General features: G+C 38.3%; 2 long non-coding RNA genes across 2 annotated transcripts in view; one reads left to right on the top strand and one right to left on the bottom strand.

Moving 5' to 3' along the window:
* The window catches only part of LINC00534 (long intergenic non-protein coding RNA 534), a 166,472-nt gene that overhangs the window by 12,134 nt on the left and 135,549 nt on the right, over window positions 1-18,789 (bottom strand). The gene's annotated exons all lie outside the window — the stretch shown is intronic.
* The window catches only part of LOC124901975 (uncharacterized), a 267,232-nt gene that overhangs the window by 186,515 nt on the left and 61,928 nt on the right, over window positions 1-18,789 (top strand). The window contains exons 4-5 of the long non-coding RNA XR_007061002.1: window positions 15,823-15,896; window positions 18,211-18,280. This is a non-coding gene — a long non-coding RNA (uncharacterized LOC124901975). The remainder of the gene's footprint in view (window positions 1-15,822; window positions 15,897-18,210; window positions 18,281-18,789) is intronic.

Below are 18,789 nucleotides of genomic sequence, written 5' to 3'. Positions count from 1 at the left end.
AGCAATGATGATTTTATAAGGCATTTCTCCTTTTGCTTGGTTCATTCTCTGGTGCGTGCCACCATGTAAGACCGTGCCTTTCACCTTCCACCATGATTGTGAGGCCTCCCCAGCCATGTGGAATGGTGAGTCCATTAAACCTCTTTTTCTTTATAATCTGGTGCGTGCCACCATGTAAGACCGTGCTTTTCACCTTCCACCATGATTGTGAGGCCTCCCCAGCCATGTGGAATGGTGAGTCCATTAAACCTCTTTTTCTTTATAAATTACCCAGTCTCAGGTATGTCTTTTTCATCAGTATAAAAATAGACTAATGCAGTAAATTGGTACCAGTAGAGTGGGGTGCTGCTGTGAAGATACCCAAAAATGTGGGTGCAACTTTGGAACTGGGTAAAAGGCAGAGGTTGAAACAGTTTGAAGGGCTCAGAACAAGACAGGAAAATGTGGGAAAGTTTGGAACTTCCTAGAGACTTGTTGAATGGCTTTGACCAATAATGCTGATAATAATATGGACAATGAAATCTAGGCTGACGTGGTCTTAGATGGAGATGAGGAACTTGTTGGGAGCTGGGGTAAAGGTGACTCTTGCTATGTTTTAGCAAAGAGACTAGTGGCATTTTGCTCCACCCTAGAGATTTGTGGAACTTTGAACTTGAGGGAGATGATTTAGGGTATCTGGCAGAAGAAATTTCTAAGCAGCAAAATATTCAAGAGGTGACTTGGGTGCTGTTAAAAGTACTCAGTTTTAAAAGGGAAACAGCATAAAAGTTTGAAAAATGTGCAGCCTTGCAATGCGATAGAAAAGAAAAACCCATTTTCTGAGGAGAAACTCATACTGGTTGCAGAAGTTTGCATAAGTAATAAGGAGCCAAATATTAATTGCCAAAACAATAGGGAAAATGTCTCCAGGGCATACCAGAGACGTTTGTGGCAGTCCCTCTCATCACAGGCCCAGAGTCTAGGAGAACAAAATTGTTTCCTGGTCTGGGCCCAGGGCACCCCCTGCTGTGTGCAGACTAGGGACTTGGTGCCCTGCATCCCAGCTGCTCTACCAATGGCTAAAAGCGGCCAAGGCACAGCTCGGGCCATGGTTTCAGAGGGTGCTAATTATTGATTTCTGGTTGTTTTTTTTTAATCCTTATTATTTACTTCCAAATTGCTTTCGGTTCATTTTATTCTATCTTTTCTATTTTCATAGGTAAGAGCCTAGATTAATGATTTGAGACCTTTCCTCATTTCCAGTGCAAGTTTTAGTGCCTTAAATCCCACCCACCCTAAGCACAGCTTTAGCTATATGCCACGTTTTGATATATTGCATTTCATTTTCATTCACTTCTATTGGTTTTTAATTTTCTTTGAGACTTTTTCTTTGATCCATCAATTGTTCAGAATATGTTGTTAAGTTCCACGTGTTGAGAGATTTTCCTATTGTCTTTCTAGCTTAATTATATTATGATCAAAGAGTGTACTCTATAATTTCAATTCTTTTAAATTCATCGAGGTTTGCTTTATGGTCCTGGATATAATCTATGTTAGTAAATATTCCATGGGCATATTAAAATGTGTGATTCTGCTATTGGTGGGTAAAGTGTGCTTTGTATATCAAATAGATCCTGTTGGTTGGCTGCATGCATTAGATTTTCTATATTCTTGTGGATTTTCTTTCTGATAGTTCTATCTGTTGCTGAAAAAGAAATGTTGAAGTCCTTATTTAAGACTGTTGATTTGTCTATTTCTCCTTTCAGCTCTATCAGCTTTTGCTTCATACATGCTGACATACTGTTTCTTGGTACATAAACACTTAAACCATTATGTCTTCTTGGTAGACTCTTTCTTTTATCGTTACATGGTGTCCCACTTTTATTTAGTAATTTCCTTTGCTGTGAAATTTAATTTATCTGATATCAATATGGCTGCATGTCCCTTTTCAAAATAATGGTTGCATTAAATATATTTTTCCATCCTATCTATCTATGTTGTTGAATTTGAAGTTAGTTTCTTATAAACACCATATTGTTGGCTTTTTCATTATGTCCACTCTACATATATCTGCCTTTTGATGGTAAATTATACCATTTACCTTACAGCAATTACTGATACTTAGTGCCCACATTTGCCATTTTATTACTTATTTTCTGTTTATTTCCTCTAAGTCTTATTCCTGTATTTCTTTTTTCTTGTCTACCTGAATATTAATTGAACTTTTTGAAAAAAGAATTTTTATTTCTTTATAGTGGCTTTGAGTGTATCTCCTTCTATAGTTTTCTTAGTGGTTGCTCTGAATATTTTTTTAAATGCATATGTGGCTGGATTAGCAAGCTAGGGCTTCCATAACAACATATTACAGACTGGGTAACTTAAACAACCGAAATTTATTTTCTCACAGTTCTGGAGGCTGGAAGTCTATGATCAAGGTGTCAACAGGTTTGTTTTCTTCTGAGGCCTCTTTGACTTGCAGCTGGTTGCCTTCTTGCTGTGTCTCACCTGGTCTTTTCTCCATGTGCACACACATCTCTGTCTTAATCTCGTCTTCTTATAAAGACACTGGTCATATTGGATTACAGCCCATACATATGACCTCATTTTCCTCTAATTCCCTCTTTAAGAGCCCTATCTCCCAACACAGCCACATTTTGAATTATTGGGGGTTAGGACTTCAACACATAAATTTTGGGGAAGCACAATTCAGCCTGTAACAGTGACTGACTTACAATCTACTGGTATCAACATTTTATTACTTCAAGTGAAATGTGGAAATTTTATGTACATTTAGGTTTATTTACCATTTCTACTTTAAATATCATTGTTTTGAGTATTAGAAGTTGCTATAATTTTTGCTTCTATCCTCAAACATGGTTTAGAAAGTTCATTAGGAAAATATACCCATATGTCTGCTGTCTGTTGTTTTTCTTCCTTTCTGATGCTCCAAGTTTGTTTCTTTTATGATTTCCTTTTTGTTTGAGTAACTTTCATTTGCCAATCTTTTTTTTTTTTTTTTTTTTTTTTTGAGACAGGGTCTCACTCTGTTGCCTAGCCTGGAGTGCAGTGGCATGATCACAGCTCACTGTAGTCTCAAATTCCCAGGCTCAAGTGATCCCCCAACTTTATCCTCCTGAGTAGCTGGGACTACAGGTGTGCACCACCACACCCAGCTAATTTTAAATTTTTTTTAGAGACAGAGTTTCACCGTGTTGCCTAGACTGCTCTCAAACTCCTGACCTCACTGATCTGCCTGCCTCAGCCTCCCAAAATGCTGGGATTACACGCATGAGCTACCACGCTCAGCTTTTTAAGAGAATGTTTGCTAGTAACAAATTCTTTTAACTTTACTTTCTCTGGGAATGTCTTCAATTCCTTTTTATTCCTGAAGAATAATTTCACTGAGTTTAGACTTTGCAGTTGACAGTTCTTTCTTTCAACACAGGAAAAATGTTGTGCCACTTCCTCTGACCACCATGATATCAAAAATAAATTCATTCAAATTGGTATTCCCATGTAAGTAATGTGTCATTTCTCTGTGCCTGCTTTCAAGATTTATCTTTGTTTTAAGTTTTCAGAAGTTTAATTATGGTATATATTGGTATAATTTATTTGGATTTATATTATTTATGGTTCACTCAACTTCTTGAATCTGTGGATTCATGTCTTTCACCAATTTGGAAAACTTTTAGGCATCATTTATTCAAAGTTTCTTTCAGTCTAGCTCCCTCCCTTGCCTTTCCTTCTAGGGTTCCAATGATACAAATGTTGGATCTTTGGTTATTGTGTTAATAGGTTCCTGATGTTCTATTTTCTATTTTATTGTTTTGGTGTAGTATATTTTCTCTCTGTTGTTCAGACTGGGTAAATTTTATCATTCTAACTTTAAGTTCACTTATTCTATGTTTTGTTATCACTATTCTACTATTAAGTCCATCTAGTAAGTTTTAAATTTTCTGTTGTATTTTTTAGTTCTGTATTTACCTTGTTTCTTTTTTATACCTTCTCTTTCTTTGCTACAATTTTCTATTTTTTCATTTGTTTCAAGAGAATTTATAATTGATTGTTGAAACATTTTTATTATGATTGTTTTAGAATCCTTGCCAGATAATTTCAACGTGTGATTTACTTAAGTGCTGGCATTCATTATCTCTCTGCTCTCAAGTTTTGATTTCCTTGATTCTTGATTATCATGTTTGGTTGTCAATTGCATTCTGGATATTTTGTCTCTTACTCTAGTAAACTCTAGGTTCTACTGAAATGTTCTATTTTAGCAAGAAATCAGCACATTTAGGTTTAGCAAGCAGATCCTGGCCTACTTCATGGACTGTAGTTCCAATAACAGTTTAATTTTCAGAGCCATTGCAATGTTATTTTGGTCTGCTTTATCTGTTGCCATTGTTCCTATTTGTGCCTGCTAATGCTCTCTGAGAGGATGGAAAGTGTTTCCCTAGGTCAGGCTGCTAGATGTGCTTCGTTGTAGAATGGGGAGGCAATGTGGGTGTTGAAGGAGGACTACTGGGACTGTGGTGATGAAGATGCCTCCCAGGACAGGGGCTTGTTGTAGTAGCATGATAGGGCCCTGCCATCCCAGGTGTCTCTGGGTAGGGAAGAGGAATCTCAGGTTCACAAGTACAAAGTCAGGCTGCTTGTTGTGGCAGGGTCTCTTTTGTTGGTGCCACAAGGACATCTCAGTTTCTCTCAGCAGGGGAGTAGTCTCAGGTCAGGTGTGAAAGGAGGGCACTTCCCTTGGCCCCTTACTATTTGCAGGGCAGTTGATTCTACTTACCAGTGGTGCTGGGCTCACATGGTATTGTTGGAGGTATAAGCATTCTATCTAGGGAGAGGAATAAGCTTCCCTGGGCTGCCTTTTGTGGAAATTGCCTGGTCTCGGTCACATTCTGCAGCTGAGTGAAGGTAGAAGGAATAGTTCACCATACTGCTGTGTTGTTCTTCCAGTCCTAGGGTTTCTAAATAGTTTGTCATTCTCTTACCACTTTTCAAAGTTTTCCCTTGGTTGCCCCTTGTTCTGTTTTCCAGATTTATTGTTATATTTATCAGGAAGGAGCAGAGAGTAATGTATCCATAACAACGTTTTCCAGACTATAATTCCTTTCTTCCTGGGTGACTTTTCAGGCTTATGAAAATTTTCTAAAATCAGAGTGTGCTGATGGTTGTATAACTCTGTGAATATACTAAAAACCACTGAATTATATGCTTACATGGATATTTTAATGGTATGTAAATTGTATCTCCAGAAATATATATATTTTTAAAAAGAAGCCAAGGTTCTTTTCATAGAAAGTGGCTTTGGACTTTGCAAAAAAAAAAATGTGTTTCATATTTCACAAAGCTAAAGTATATTTACAGTGAAGCTAGAAGAATGCTTTTATCAGTTCCAGCAACAGGCGACTATCTGGATACCGTGGTGGTGATGTGAAGTGTAACAAGAAGTGTTTCTGACTCCCTGGGTAGTCTGTTGAAATCCATCAAACCCACTGCCAGGTCTTAGTGATCACTGACTGGATGATACATATATAAAGACAAAGTGTCATTTCTGTAATGTTGAAACCCTCAACTAAAGAAATTGCCACTCAAGTACAGAAAAGGTTTTCATTACTTTTTCCAGTCAAGGGAAGGATGTAGTACAACTTGAAAATGTCAGGTTTAGTATTTTAATCACTGGTTTTAATCAAGAGGATTTCAAACTTCACATATTTCTATAGTGGTTAAAAAATGTCTATGAAAAAACACAAAACAGCAGCATGGAAGACTAAAGATATACTAGAAAAATAAGCCCAATCATTCTAAGGAAATAGTAATAAATCAAAACTAATTTCTAGAAAAACAGAGAAAGCAATGTGCAAGATATAGATAGATAATATATAGATATATAGATAAGTAAAACACTGAAACTTTTAACATCCCAAGAAAATATAAACAAATAGTTATTAATGAGAGATTTGAGGGGATATCTCATTCTTGAAATAGAACAATAGAAATTTTCCTTTTCAAAAGAATCAGCTGTAATAGTAGAAAACAATATTGCATGTTAACTAATGCATTTGTAGGACAAGATGCTGAGAAAGTGCAAATTGAGCAATATTGAGTTAAGATAAAAGGAGAACCAGACATTCTTTGTGGTATGTACTACAAATTTTGTAGCCTTCACTTTGGACAGGCAAAGCATAGGAATGATGTTTTCCTAGTGTCCATTATGATACCAGCACTGAGGGAAGGCTTTAAATCTCCAAGTTTTTGATGACCACTGTGGTTTTGAGTCCCAAGCAACTAATTTTTTTAGAAATTGTATACTGAGGGTGGGGTCAAAACAATGAAAAGTGGTGCTGTATACAAAGAAAAACAACACTCCTATAATATTCTGCCATAGTCCAGCCACATACAGGGACCTGAATTTATTTCCAGATTCTAAATTTTAGTAGGAAGTTTGAAAATTAAAGCATATTCCTAGGAGAGTGACAGGAAGAAGGGTACAGATACCATGTCATATGAGGAATTCTGACAGACATCTTATCATGGGAGGCTTGGAAATAAGGCTTAATGAGACAAGATAACAAGATACCTATCTGAAATTTGGCCCCATGAAAGGTAGACTAACAAAAGATAAGATACTTAGGGGAAAATATCTAGCAACCATAATGATGAAAATAGTTGACCATTCCAGCTCAGCTGGAAAATAGTTATTAACTTACATTTTTGTCTCTAATCAGACTTAAAACCAATGAAAATTTAGGTTGGAAGTGGGCTATTATCAGAAGGATCTGAAAGTCATTCTTTGATGGATGGGTGAATAGATGTAGATAAGTAGAATTCTAGAATTGAACTGAAGCTTTCTATCTAATATCTAATCTCTTTTCCTAACTTCTTTCTGGCCTTGGTTTATTCATGTCTTTTACATTTCTTCATACCCATCTTCATTTGTTTAGAATTTTGCCTCAAACTTCAGCTAAGATATGAGGAATTCTCATTCCCAGCTATTGCTTAACTATGGGGTCAGAAAAGACTGTCAGGCCTCTCCCAGATTCACAGCTGGACTCAAGATACAAACAAGGTGCCAGGGCTAGCCGGAAGTCTGGATAGCATATACCACCTTGTCCCTTCAGATGAGATGCCACAAATATTAACAAATGTTAGGAACTGACTTGAGCCTGTTGAAACTCATTTGTTTAAAATAATTTGTTCAAAAGCATATTTCAGATATTTTCAAAGTATTTGTGGCAAATGCAAGACTGTGTGTTTACCAGGCTCTCTTTCTTTCCCTCCTGGGCACACAATTTATTCACATTTCTGAGTCTTGCCTGCAGCTAGTTTGGGATGTGTAACTCATTTTGTCTACTTGAGTATCAGTGGGAGTGGCATGCTTTACTTTCCAACCTTCATTCCTCCATACTTTTCTCTTTCCACCCTCTGAAAGCAGAGGAGCATGAACAGAGGATGACAGAGCTACATGATGTGTGGATCCTGGATTCCCTAATGACTGTGTGGAGCAGAGCATCCCACTGGTCCTCATTGGATATAGTGTGAGAAATAAACTTTTACTGGGTTAACCACAGAAATTTTGGCATTGTTATGCAGTCAACCTATCTTGCTTGATAAGACAGGTATTCATTGCTTGAAAAGAGTGCTGCCGGCCAGGCAAGGTGGCTCATGCCTGTAATCCCAGCACTTTGGGAGGCCAAGGCAGGTGGATCACGAGGTCAAGAGTTCAAAGCTAGCCTGGCCAAGATGGTAAAACCCCGTCTCTACTAAAAATACAAAAAAATTAGCCGGGTGCGGTGGCAGGCACCTGTAATCCCAGCTACTCGTGAGGCTGAGGCAGGAGAATTGCTTGAACTCGGAGGGCGGAGGTTGCAGTGAGCCAAGGTGGTGCCACTGCAACTCCAGTCTGGGCAACAGAGTGAGACTCCATCTCAAAAAAAAGAAAGAAAATAAAAGGGTGCTGCCAAAACAAAACCTAAAATGTGTGAAATTGGCTTAGCAGTCAGATAGTACATGGTAAGGAAAATGATACTGGAGGTTGGAATATTGATAATTCATGCAGTGTCAAAAACATTTGGTAAAGCTGTCACCTGCAGCTGGGCACAGTGGCTTACACCTGTAGTCCTGGCACTTTGGGAGGCCAAGGCAGGCAGATCACTGGAGGCCAGGAGTTCAAGACCAGCCTGGCCAACATGGTGAAACCCCACTGCTACAAAAAAAATACAAAAATTATCTTGGTGTGGTGGTGCATGCCTGTAGTCCCAGCTACTCATGAGGCTAAGGCATGAGAGAATCGCTTGAACCTGGGAGGTAGAGGTTGCAGTGAGCTGAGATCATGCCACTGCACTATTGCCTGGGCAAAAGAGTGAGACTCTGTCTCACAAGAAACAAAAACAAAAAAAAATGTCACCTGCAATAACTTGGAAGACAGATGATATGCTATTATGGGTTGAATTGTGTCTCCCAAAATAAATATGTTGAAGTATTTTTCTTTTTTTTTTCCCAAGATAGAATCTCGCTCTGTTGCCAGGCTGGAGTGCAGTGGCACGATCTCAGCTCACTGCAACCTCTGCCTCCCAGGTTCAAGTGATTCTCCTGCCTCAGCCTCCTGAGTAGCTGGTACTACAGGCGCCTGCCACTGCACCTAGCTAATTTTTTTTGTATTTTTAGTAGAGACAGGGTTTCACCATGTTGGCCAGGATGGTCTTGATCTCCTGACCTTGTGATCCACCCACCTCGGCCTCCCAAAGTGCTGGGATTACAGGCGTGAGCCACCGCGCTGGGCCAATATGTTGAAGTCTTAATCCCTAGTACATGTGAATGTGACCTTATTTTGAACTAGGATCTTTGTAGCTGTACTCAAGTTAAGAAGGGATTATTTGAGTAGGCCCTATTCCAACATGACTGGCGTCCTAATAAGAAGAGGGAAATTTGGACACAGACAGAGATACATATACACAGAGGGAGGATGATGTGAACACACATAGGGAAGACACCACGCGAAGACATAAGTAAAGGTTGGAGCAATGCATCAACAGCCAAAGTGACATCAAGGATTGCCGATTACCACCAGTAGCTAGGAGAGAAGCATGGGACAGACTTTCCCTCAGACCCTTGCAGTAGAAACCAACCCTGCCAACACCTTGATTTCAGACTTCTAGCCCCCATACCTGTGAGACAATACATTTCTATTGTTGTAAGTCACCCAATTTGTGATACTGTTATGGCAGCCCTAGGAATTTATTAATAATCCATATACCTATTGAATCTGTTGCTCTAGGGGAAGTGATTAGCATTAGAGTATCACTATATTTTTATTATCATTGGTTTTCAGTATCTTATTTTTAAGCAGAAATGAAAGGGAATACAGAGTCCAGAAATATGAAGCTTCCTAGAGAGAACAGCTGATTGCTTCAGATCCCAGTTAGTAAGATAAAAAATTAAAAGATCTTGACCAACAAGGCAGCAGGAAACATTCTCAGTTGATCAACCCTACAGTAAACCCAACTGCACAGCACTAGTGTGGTCTTCCTAATCATTGTTTTGGATGATATTATGGTAATTTATTAAACTGAGAAAGACATGAGGAAAATAAACTTTAAAATAAGGCATATTTTACAGCTATGATTAGAAAAGTTCTGTATAGTCATTTACATGTGGAACTGACTGGGACCAAATAAATCAGAAGCCTACTGATTTGTTGAGACAATCATATTGCCAAAGACACCACGAGTCTTTGATGGTCCGAACTATAAAACAAACTTTATGTTTTCCACTTGCTCTGGCTAGAAGCAGTTGAGAAAGTTGTGCATATTCCTCAATTCCCATTTCAGATATGGTCCAGTAGAATAATAAACCAAAAAAAAATCTCTTACTGTTGAGCCAGATGCTGTGGAGGAAAAATGGACACTGGAATTCTTCCCAAAAAGGGAGATCAGGCCCTAATCAAGCAACTCTCCCCATCTCTAAGTTAGGCAGACTTCAGAATGTTTGTCTCAAGCATAGATCTGTAGACTACAGGCCAGGTGCATGTGTACTGTTTTTATAAATAAAGCTTCATTGAAATATAGCGGGGCTTTATATATTCTCCATAGCTTCTTTTGAACTACAATGGCATAGTTGAGTAATTGCAGTGGGCAGTATATAGCCTGCAAACCTAAAATATTGGCCATTTTAGGAAATAGGAACTGAATGTTCTTTAGGAAAGCATTTGTTTGGGAGGCTGAGGTGAGAGGATGGCTTGAGTCCAGAAGTTCAAGACCAGCCTGGGCAACATGGCAAGATCCCATCTCAAAAGGAGAAACAGAGACAGAGAGAGAGAAGAAAAAGAGAGAGGAAGGAAGAAAGAAAGAAAAAAAAGGAAGGAAGAAGGAAGGAAAGAAGTGAGGGAGGGAGGGGAAAATATTTGCTGACGCCTGGCCTAAAGGATTTTTATATGCTATGAATAAGTTACTGCTGCATCTTTTATTTTTCACTTTTCTGAATGGGAGATATTATTGCAGTTATTTTGTTCTTGTTGTACCACTGTACATTGGGTGCATAAGATTAGAATGGGGTGGCACTTGCAGAAAACTTGTCTTTCTAATTCTTAACTTACAGGATCATGGTGGAGAGAACTGAGCATCACCAAGAGATTCTGAACTTTGAGCTGTACACCATGATTGAATGGGACTTTGAGTTGTCTCTCCTGTGAGAGAAAGAATGATATTTGGTGGCCAGAAATGTGTATTGTGGTATAAGTAATCCTTTGCGTTAACTAAATGACATTTCTTCTTCTTCCTGACCTCACAGTTAGACTTCATTTTCCAACTCCCTGGCAGTTAGGTGGGGACAAGAGACTAAGTTCTAGTGGGGACAAGAGACTAAGTTCTAGTCAAAGGAACACACACGGAAGTCATATATACCTCTTCCAGGTCTACCATCTAAAAAGTAGTATACCTCTGCCACAATTATTTATTTTTTTCTTTTTCTATTTCCTTTATAAAGGAGAAGAAAATAGAAGTCTAAAATATGGCAGAGTTGAATCATAAAAATAGCCTGGGTTCCTGAATGACTGGGTGGAGCATAGCCTCCACTGACCCAAATTGAACGATAATGTGAGTAAGCAATAGATGTTTATTCAATAAATATTTACTGAGTCAAGCCATTGCAATGTTCATATTGTTTGTTAAAGGAGTTATCCATCCCTGATGAATACTGTTAGACACTATATTTCAACATGAGGATGAATAATTTGTGGACCTGTCCTTCAACGAGCTCACAATGCAAAAGGAGGATGAATAATTTGTAGACCTGTCCTTCAAGGAACTCACAATACAATGAGAGAGACACGCACCCACAAAGTGATGATGATAATTAAATATTACAAGTACAAAGATAATTCACTTGATACTATGGCAGAGACAACTGACCCAGTATTGGAGAATTAAGGAAGGCTTTCTAGTAGAGGTAATGCCCAAACTTGACCTTGAATCAGGAAAACCCACAGAAAGAAAAGGAAATAAAGCAAAGAGACAATAAACATAAAGATGCAAAGGCAAGAAATGGCAATGTATTTGCTCAGTGGACTCCAAGCAGGTGTTGATATTAATTTTTAGGTAAGGATAGGCAGAAGTGAATGTCAGGACCAGATCATGATGAATCACACATTCATCATGTTGGGAGAACAAGAGGGTGAAGAGGTTGGTGGAATAGTTCATACTGTTTGCAAATCTTATGAATTTGTGGGATTCATCCCAGATTGCTCAGATACTGCTGATGGCCTGGGAAGAAGTCAGTTTGCCCAAGTCCGTTGTCCTCATGAGCTATTGCTCAGGTCCCTGCTCACAGCTCCCACCCCACTGTGGCAGATGTTGTGAATGGTCAACTCACTTGATGTGTTTAGACAAATGAAACGTTAAAAAGTCTATTTCTAAGGTTCCAGTGGAGGAGGTTCCTGATTTGTTAGAGTCCACCAATCAGACACACTCATGCAGGGTTTTAATTTGAAATGTAGTTAAGAGTGGAGAGAAACAGCTGAAAGGCATTCAGTCAGCCATGCACACCCTGGTAGACTTGGTATGGTTCCAGAGCAGGCAGCAGGAACTCTCTCACCCTGAACCATTGGATCCAGCAGCAGCACAAGTAAAAGCCCAGTTGTGTGGTGCGGTTTGGGGCTTTCCTGGAAACAAAGAGTCTGTTTCTTCAGGCTACTCAATGATTCTATGCTGTTTATGACTCTTATCTCCGTTTAAACATGCTAAAGTGAGTTTTATTGTCTGTAACTAAGAACCCGGGCCAATACATTCACCAAATAAGTTTCTAGCACATATGAAACTGGCACTGTGCTTTAAAAAGATTTATTGACTCAACTAATAGTTACTGAGGCCTTACCATGTGTTGGATACTGTGTACCACCCTTTGTACATTAATTATTTGTTTATTCATTTAATAATAATAACAATATTAACAATACTTAGAATGTGGAATTTATAGCATGAGGTTTAAATGAAAAAGAACATAAACCCATACAATTGTTCGTTGTGGTATCTGTGATACTTAAAGGTGTATATATAAATGCAACCTTTCCTCAAAAGGACTGGATTATCAAGTAGGTTTCCCACTACTAAAGTTGTTCAGAGATAGAATAATAATCTGACACAGATATTGTGTAAGAGATCTCTGCATTGTAGTGAAGTTTGATTAAATAATACTCTGAGAATCTCGGCTTATCCAAGTAGGGAATCCATCTTTCAGCCCCTGCTTCACACCATCAAAGCAAAGCAACAACAGGTCGGGCGCGGTAGCTCACGCCTATAATCCCAGCACTTTAGGAGGCAGAGGCGGGCGGATCACGAGATCAGGAGATCGAGATCATCCTGGCTAACACAGTGAAACCCCGTCTCTACTGAAAATCCAAAAAAAAAAAAAAAAAATTAGCCGGGCGTGGTGGCGGGCGCCTGTAGTCCCAGCTACCAGGAGGCTGAGGCAGGAGAATGGCGGGAACTCGGGGGCGGAGCTTGCAGTGAGCCGAGATCGCGCCACTGCACTCTCGCCTGGGTGAGAGCGAGACTCCGTCTAAAAAAAAAAAAAATCATACAAAGCAAAGCAACAACAATTTGCAGTGGACTGTCTCCAAAATTCTTCATCTCCTTTATATGTGCAATTGGAGCTGGTCTGTGGCTCCTTTTGGGAGACAGATGTAGCTTGAAGGGTTTCTTCCCTCCTTGTTCTTAATTCTTCCTGCCCTGATACGGCATTCCATTTCCGAACATGGCAAGCATCTTCCCCCTGGTGCCGCCCCCACCTCGCCCACACTAGGGGAGTGTGGGAGAGCAGTATGCAGCCAATGTGGACACTCTGTTCTATATTTTTGTCTCCTCCTCCAGGTGTCTGAACCTATCCTTACTGGTAATTACAGTACCAGATTCTAGTTGGAAAAAAAAAAAAAGAAACCCACAGTTTCACAAAACTCCATCTCCACTCAGACTCCTAATATTCTGTCATTAGTCGCAGTTCATTTAGTTGTGTTTTGATGGTGGGAATGGTTTGGTGTGTTTTCCATTGGAAGAAAAATGAATTTCAGCAAAGAGAGCTACATGTTCTTGTTCCTAATGTATTTATAAAATCAGTTTATCTAATCCTAGAGAGTTGCAGTTTGAACACTTTGATGTTCAGGGATCACATAAGGGGAACAATAGTAAGCTTAATGAAGAAATGTTCCCGGTGATCTGCAGGTGTCTCTGTCTAATGAACCATTCACATAACAATTAAGGTCATCTATAAAGGTCCTTTCTGTCTGAAATTGCTGCCCGCATGAGAAACTCAAATCTGGTTGGTCCCATTGGCTGGTACCGAGTATTGAAATGTGCCCCTGAAAAATATGACTTAGGAGAAGCCTGAAAACAAACACTAATCTGTGTGTCCGGGACCTAGAAGAAAACCAGGCAGTGGGCCAACTCCTTTTATATTTGGTTTTCATGAGAATCTGTCTGTGGGGGAGCTCTGAGTGTTTTTAGTGCAATAACAAGCTTGTGTTCTCTGAGCCAATTAGTATGTAATTAGGTGTTGGCTAATGAGGGGGAGGATAAAAGGTGGAGCTGGCAGAGAGAGCGGGTGTGGGTGTGACTCATGTGTATGCAGGTGGTGAAGCGGCACATGTTGAGAACTAAATTGAATTTCTAAAACCCAATAATTTGTTACACACTATTAGTAAGTTCTGTGCTAGACCTTCAGCAGCTTTTTCACATCTCTATTGAAATATGCTTCTATTCCTCTCTGCAAAATAAGATGTGTTCAGCAAATGCATGTTAACATTTTTCCCTGGCCATCTTCTAGAAGTTTAAAATGAGAGTTGGTTGGGATGCTTGTTAGTATTGAGTTACCTATAAGAAGGACAAAAGAAAACCATTGGTTTGTTCTTCCACTCAACATATATTTCTTTGCGTGTTCATCAGTGAACTAAACAAAGATCCCTGCCCTCCTGGAGTTTGCGTTCTAGTGAGGAGAGATGGATTGTGAACAACAAACATAAATACAAAAATTATATACTACCTTAGAAGGTGATGAAAAAATTTAGAGTGAGACAGGGGATCATCACCCCCCACCATACACACACACACAGACACCCAATGTTAAGGGATGTGTGCAAGTTTCAAAAGATAAACCTCCCTGAGAAGGTAAGATTTGAGCAAATACTTGAAGAACTTATGGAAGGAAAAGGTTGAGGGAAAGGAGGTAAGAATTGACACAAATAAGTAATGTCATGTGCCTAAAATGACTGAAGATTCAGTAAAGACCAAATGGAAAAAAATCTCATTTTTTTAATTCCTCTCATATTTGATGTTTGTGAAAGTCTGTATTGGTGCAGGCACTTTGGGTGTTTCTGTGGCCGCAAGAGGCTCCTGATCTTGCCCTCAGATGAGTTTTTTTTTTGAAAAAAGGAGCACAATGGAGAGCAAGAAAAATAAAGGGAAATACAGCCTTTGTGAATGGGAAGGAACTGTGGTTTCAGTTGCAGAGGTGGGCCAAATAGTTTTGGCCTTTTTTTTGTCAGGCAGACACATGCACACGTATGTTTATTGCGGTACTATTCACAATAGCAAAGACTTGGAACCAACCCAAATGTCCAACAATGATAGACTGGATTAAGAAAATGTGGCACATATACACCATGGAATACTATGCAGCCATAAAAAACGATGAGTTCATGTCCTTTTTAGGGACATGGATGAAATTGGAAATCATCATTCTCAGTGAACTATCACAAGAACAAAAAACCAAACACCACATATTCTCACTCATAGGTGGGAATTGAACAATGAGAACACATGGACACAGGAAGGGGAACATCACACTCTGGGGACTGTTGTGGGGTGGGGGGGGGGAGGGATAGCTTTAGGAGATATAGTTAATGCTAAATGACAATTTAATGGGTGCAGCACACCAGCATGGCACATGTATACATATGTAACTAACCTGCACATTGTGCACATGTACCCTAAAACTTAAAGTATAATAATAATAAAATAAAATAAAAAGTTTTAAATGTAAAAAAAAAAAACAGAAAATGTGTTTTAATTCTGTGAGTCCTTCCCGAGTACACTTGACACTGTGACGTGTGCTTTTCATGAATGCACCCTTCACCATGTCTCCTGTTAGCTCATCCTGGTCTCCATAAAGCTGCATAGTTAGGAAGGTAATCTTCTTGGTTCTCCTGACTTCTGCGTGTCGGAGAGCTACTGCAAGTGAAAGCACCCAAGAGAGTGTAAAATACTTTAAAGATGTGAGATACTACTTTATTGTTAATCTGTGTTGTTAAAAAAATTCTAAATGATGATGAATATGCTTGTTCTCCTTCTCCAGGCAAGCAAGATGATAATTTGATTTTTGAGTTAACCTGATGAGTTTTTGTAGCTGTCAAGAGCTCTTAAATTGAGGTAAGCCCCAAATGATAAGTAAATTATGATATTATGGTCTGTTTTTCACCAGACTAATTCAGTAAAGCATCATCCCCACTACTTATCAAGGTACGTCTTACACTGCCTGTGCCAAAGGATTCGCCAATGGCAGAAACCAGAAAAAAATCAAATCCTTTTATTCATAGGTTCTCTTCCTATTAGCACCTCGCTATTATATTCATACATCATCAAGGAAACCACATTACCAGGAGATGTTTGCTTTTGCTCTTCTGTGCCTCTGGCAAGCTGATAATCTGAAACTAATATCATTTTATTATTTATACAACATTTGGCGAGAGTGGAATAATCACCAGTAAAGAGTGTTTATCTTTTGGCTTTGTTTTAAATTTCTACTCAAGAGTGCTTCTTTATTGGAAAGGGAACCAATTTACACATCTCCAATTTTGTAAGGAATTTCATATGACAGTATGGTTTAATTGACATCATAGATCCAAATTATTCCAGTCATATTTAGTCCTTCTTATAACTAGTTCTGTGGCAGTAGCCTCACCAAGCTCCTGCTTGAAATCTACTCACTGTGAACTTCCTTTCCAATCTAACTTTGCTCTTTCTTAAGATTCTGCTAATTCATTGACTTCTCCCAATCCTCAAAGTTAACTGCAAGTGAACATTTTATTTTTGAGCAGACGGACTTAACATTAATATTGCTCTTCATGTATGAGGCTGACCTTACTGACTGACCAGCCTTGGGGCAGACATTTTGATTTTTTTCTCCAGTAATGGATATAGATTTATTCTGGCATACTTATGCCCTTGCCGAGTAAAGCTGAGGCCATGAATCAGAGTAAGGCTGATTGGCCTCCATAGAGCATTGACCACATACCATACAGTTGTTAGCACCATGGGCTAATTTGCTGCATTAATGGTTACAGATGTTGTGTTTAATGTCCAAGTCAAAGCTGACCTTTACAAAGCAGAACAGACACTGTGCTAAGTACCAGACATAGACTATTTTCTATGCTCTACAACTCAGTAAGATTGGTAGTCTTAATCTATTTAGAGTGAGAAGATGAATACTTAAAAGGATTAGGTAATTTGTCTAAGGTGACAATGAGAATAAGTAGTAAGCCCAGGATTCGAATCCAGCTTTACTATAAAGCCATCATTTTTAACCTCTACACTAAACTGTGTCCTTCACTAATGGTATACCTAAATTTTAGCCTGTAATCTATAATGTAGTCTAGCCCTGTAATAATCAGGAATAAGATGACTGCTATACAAGGGCTATGTTATACTATCCTTGACCAAGAAATATCTCAAAGTTTCAAACAAACTCTCAAAGCTTCAGGTCAAACGTCCTCTTGAGAGATGGCCAGAGAGAATCTAGGCCAATATATGGTATATTGTCTTGATACTTAAAGTATTTTCTGTAAGCAAAGATTTATCAGGAAATTGATTTACTGAATGGCCATGAGGGCACCATTACATCCACTACTGCTTCAGTGAGCTGACCAATTGGGTCCTTTATTCCTCACAAGCAGGTTGCTTGCTGAAAGCTAATTTATTGAATCCATCAAATTTTGGTTTATAGTGAATACCCGACAAAAGCAAAAAAATCTCAATTTCAAAGATAAACTTATACAAATTGTATAATTCATGGAATAGATTGCTCTACTGATAATCAATGAATAAAAATATGTCATATTTTAAGATGGTTTTGCAATTGGGGAAAAAGGTGATTTTCCTCAATTAAAAAAATTAGGAGGCATATGTAGAATACAGAATGTTTTAAGTGAAAAATCAGAAACATGGATTTAGAAATTATTTCTTCATCTTTGAAGGGTTTAAGCTATTTTAAAGAGAAATTTAAACCTTTGAGCTTCAGAGGAGAAAATGGTCCATCAGTAGTCACAAACATAAAATGTAAATTAACTTTTGCTTTAAGAAGCAAAATATGAAACGTTCCACAAGATTTATTTTTATGCAGTTATTTCTTTTTTGGTTTTACTTTGAGCAAGAGACACAAAGTGCCATGAAATAATTACAAGTAGTAACAAATTTTTTATAAGACTGGAAAACATTGCTCTCAGATGAGTTTGAGGTGTAATCTCAACTCTAACACTTACTGTATTACTTTATATGCGTTAGTTAACTCTCTAAGTCCTAAAAAATGTTTAATGTAAAGTAGGACACTCTTCCATAGAATCTTGGAATAACCAAGTTGTGGCAGACTATGTATGCAAAGGGGTCGGCATAGTGCATGCCTTATAGCAAGTGCTCGATGAGTGTAAATTGCAATCTTTTTAAAATTTCTATTTATTTTCTATTTTAGCCAATGAAAGCAAAATTCAATAGAAGAAAGCAAAAAAATGAAGAAGACAGCATTAAAGGAAAAGATCAAGGTAATTTTACTCTAAGAGATTGTAGAAAAATACAGAAAGTAACAGGAAAAATATGATTTTTATAGAAACATAATATTGATGCTTTCAAAGTTTTAAGAAAAAGACAGTTAATTTATTAATAATGTAATACCCAAATTTCATCATGGGAACTAAGCAATCTCAATATGAGTAATAAAAGTATTTCAACTGATACATAAAAGATGGACACATAAGACTTCCTGAAGGCTTTTTTTAAAATTTCCAACAGAGAAAGCCCTAAATTTCCATTTTGAGTAATATGACATCTAATTATACAAGGAAAGCCGTTCTAATTTCATTGAACATCATCTACATAACATAACCTTTTAAGAAAGCATTGTTAAAGCACTTAAAGCTATGTATTGTTTTCACAACTCTGAGAATAAATGAAGATTATTGCCACTTGGAATTTCCCTATCATGTCACTGTCTGAGTAACAGACATAGCCACGTTTCTAAATGTTGCTCCACTATTGACAAGCTACTATTTGA

The sequence above is a fragment of the Homo sapiens genome, chromosome 8 (genome assembly GCF_000001405.40).
Source record: "Homo sapiens chromosome 8, GRCh38.p14 Primary Assembly".
NCBI classification, from domain to species: Eukaryota; Metazoa; Chordata; class Mammalia; order Primates; family Hominidae; genus Homo; species Homo sapiens.
The sequence above is the reverse complement of the archived record's forward strand: the minus strand, read 5'-3'. Positions and strand labels throughout refer to the sequence as shown.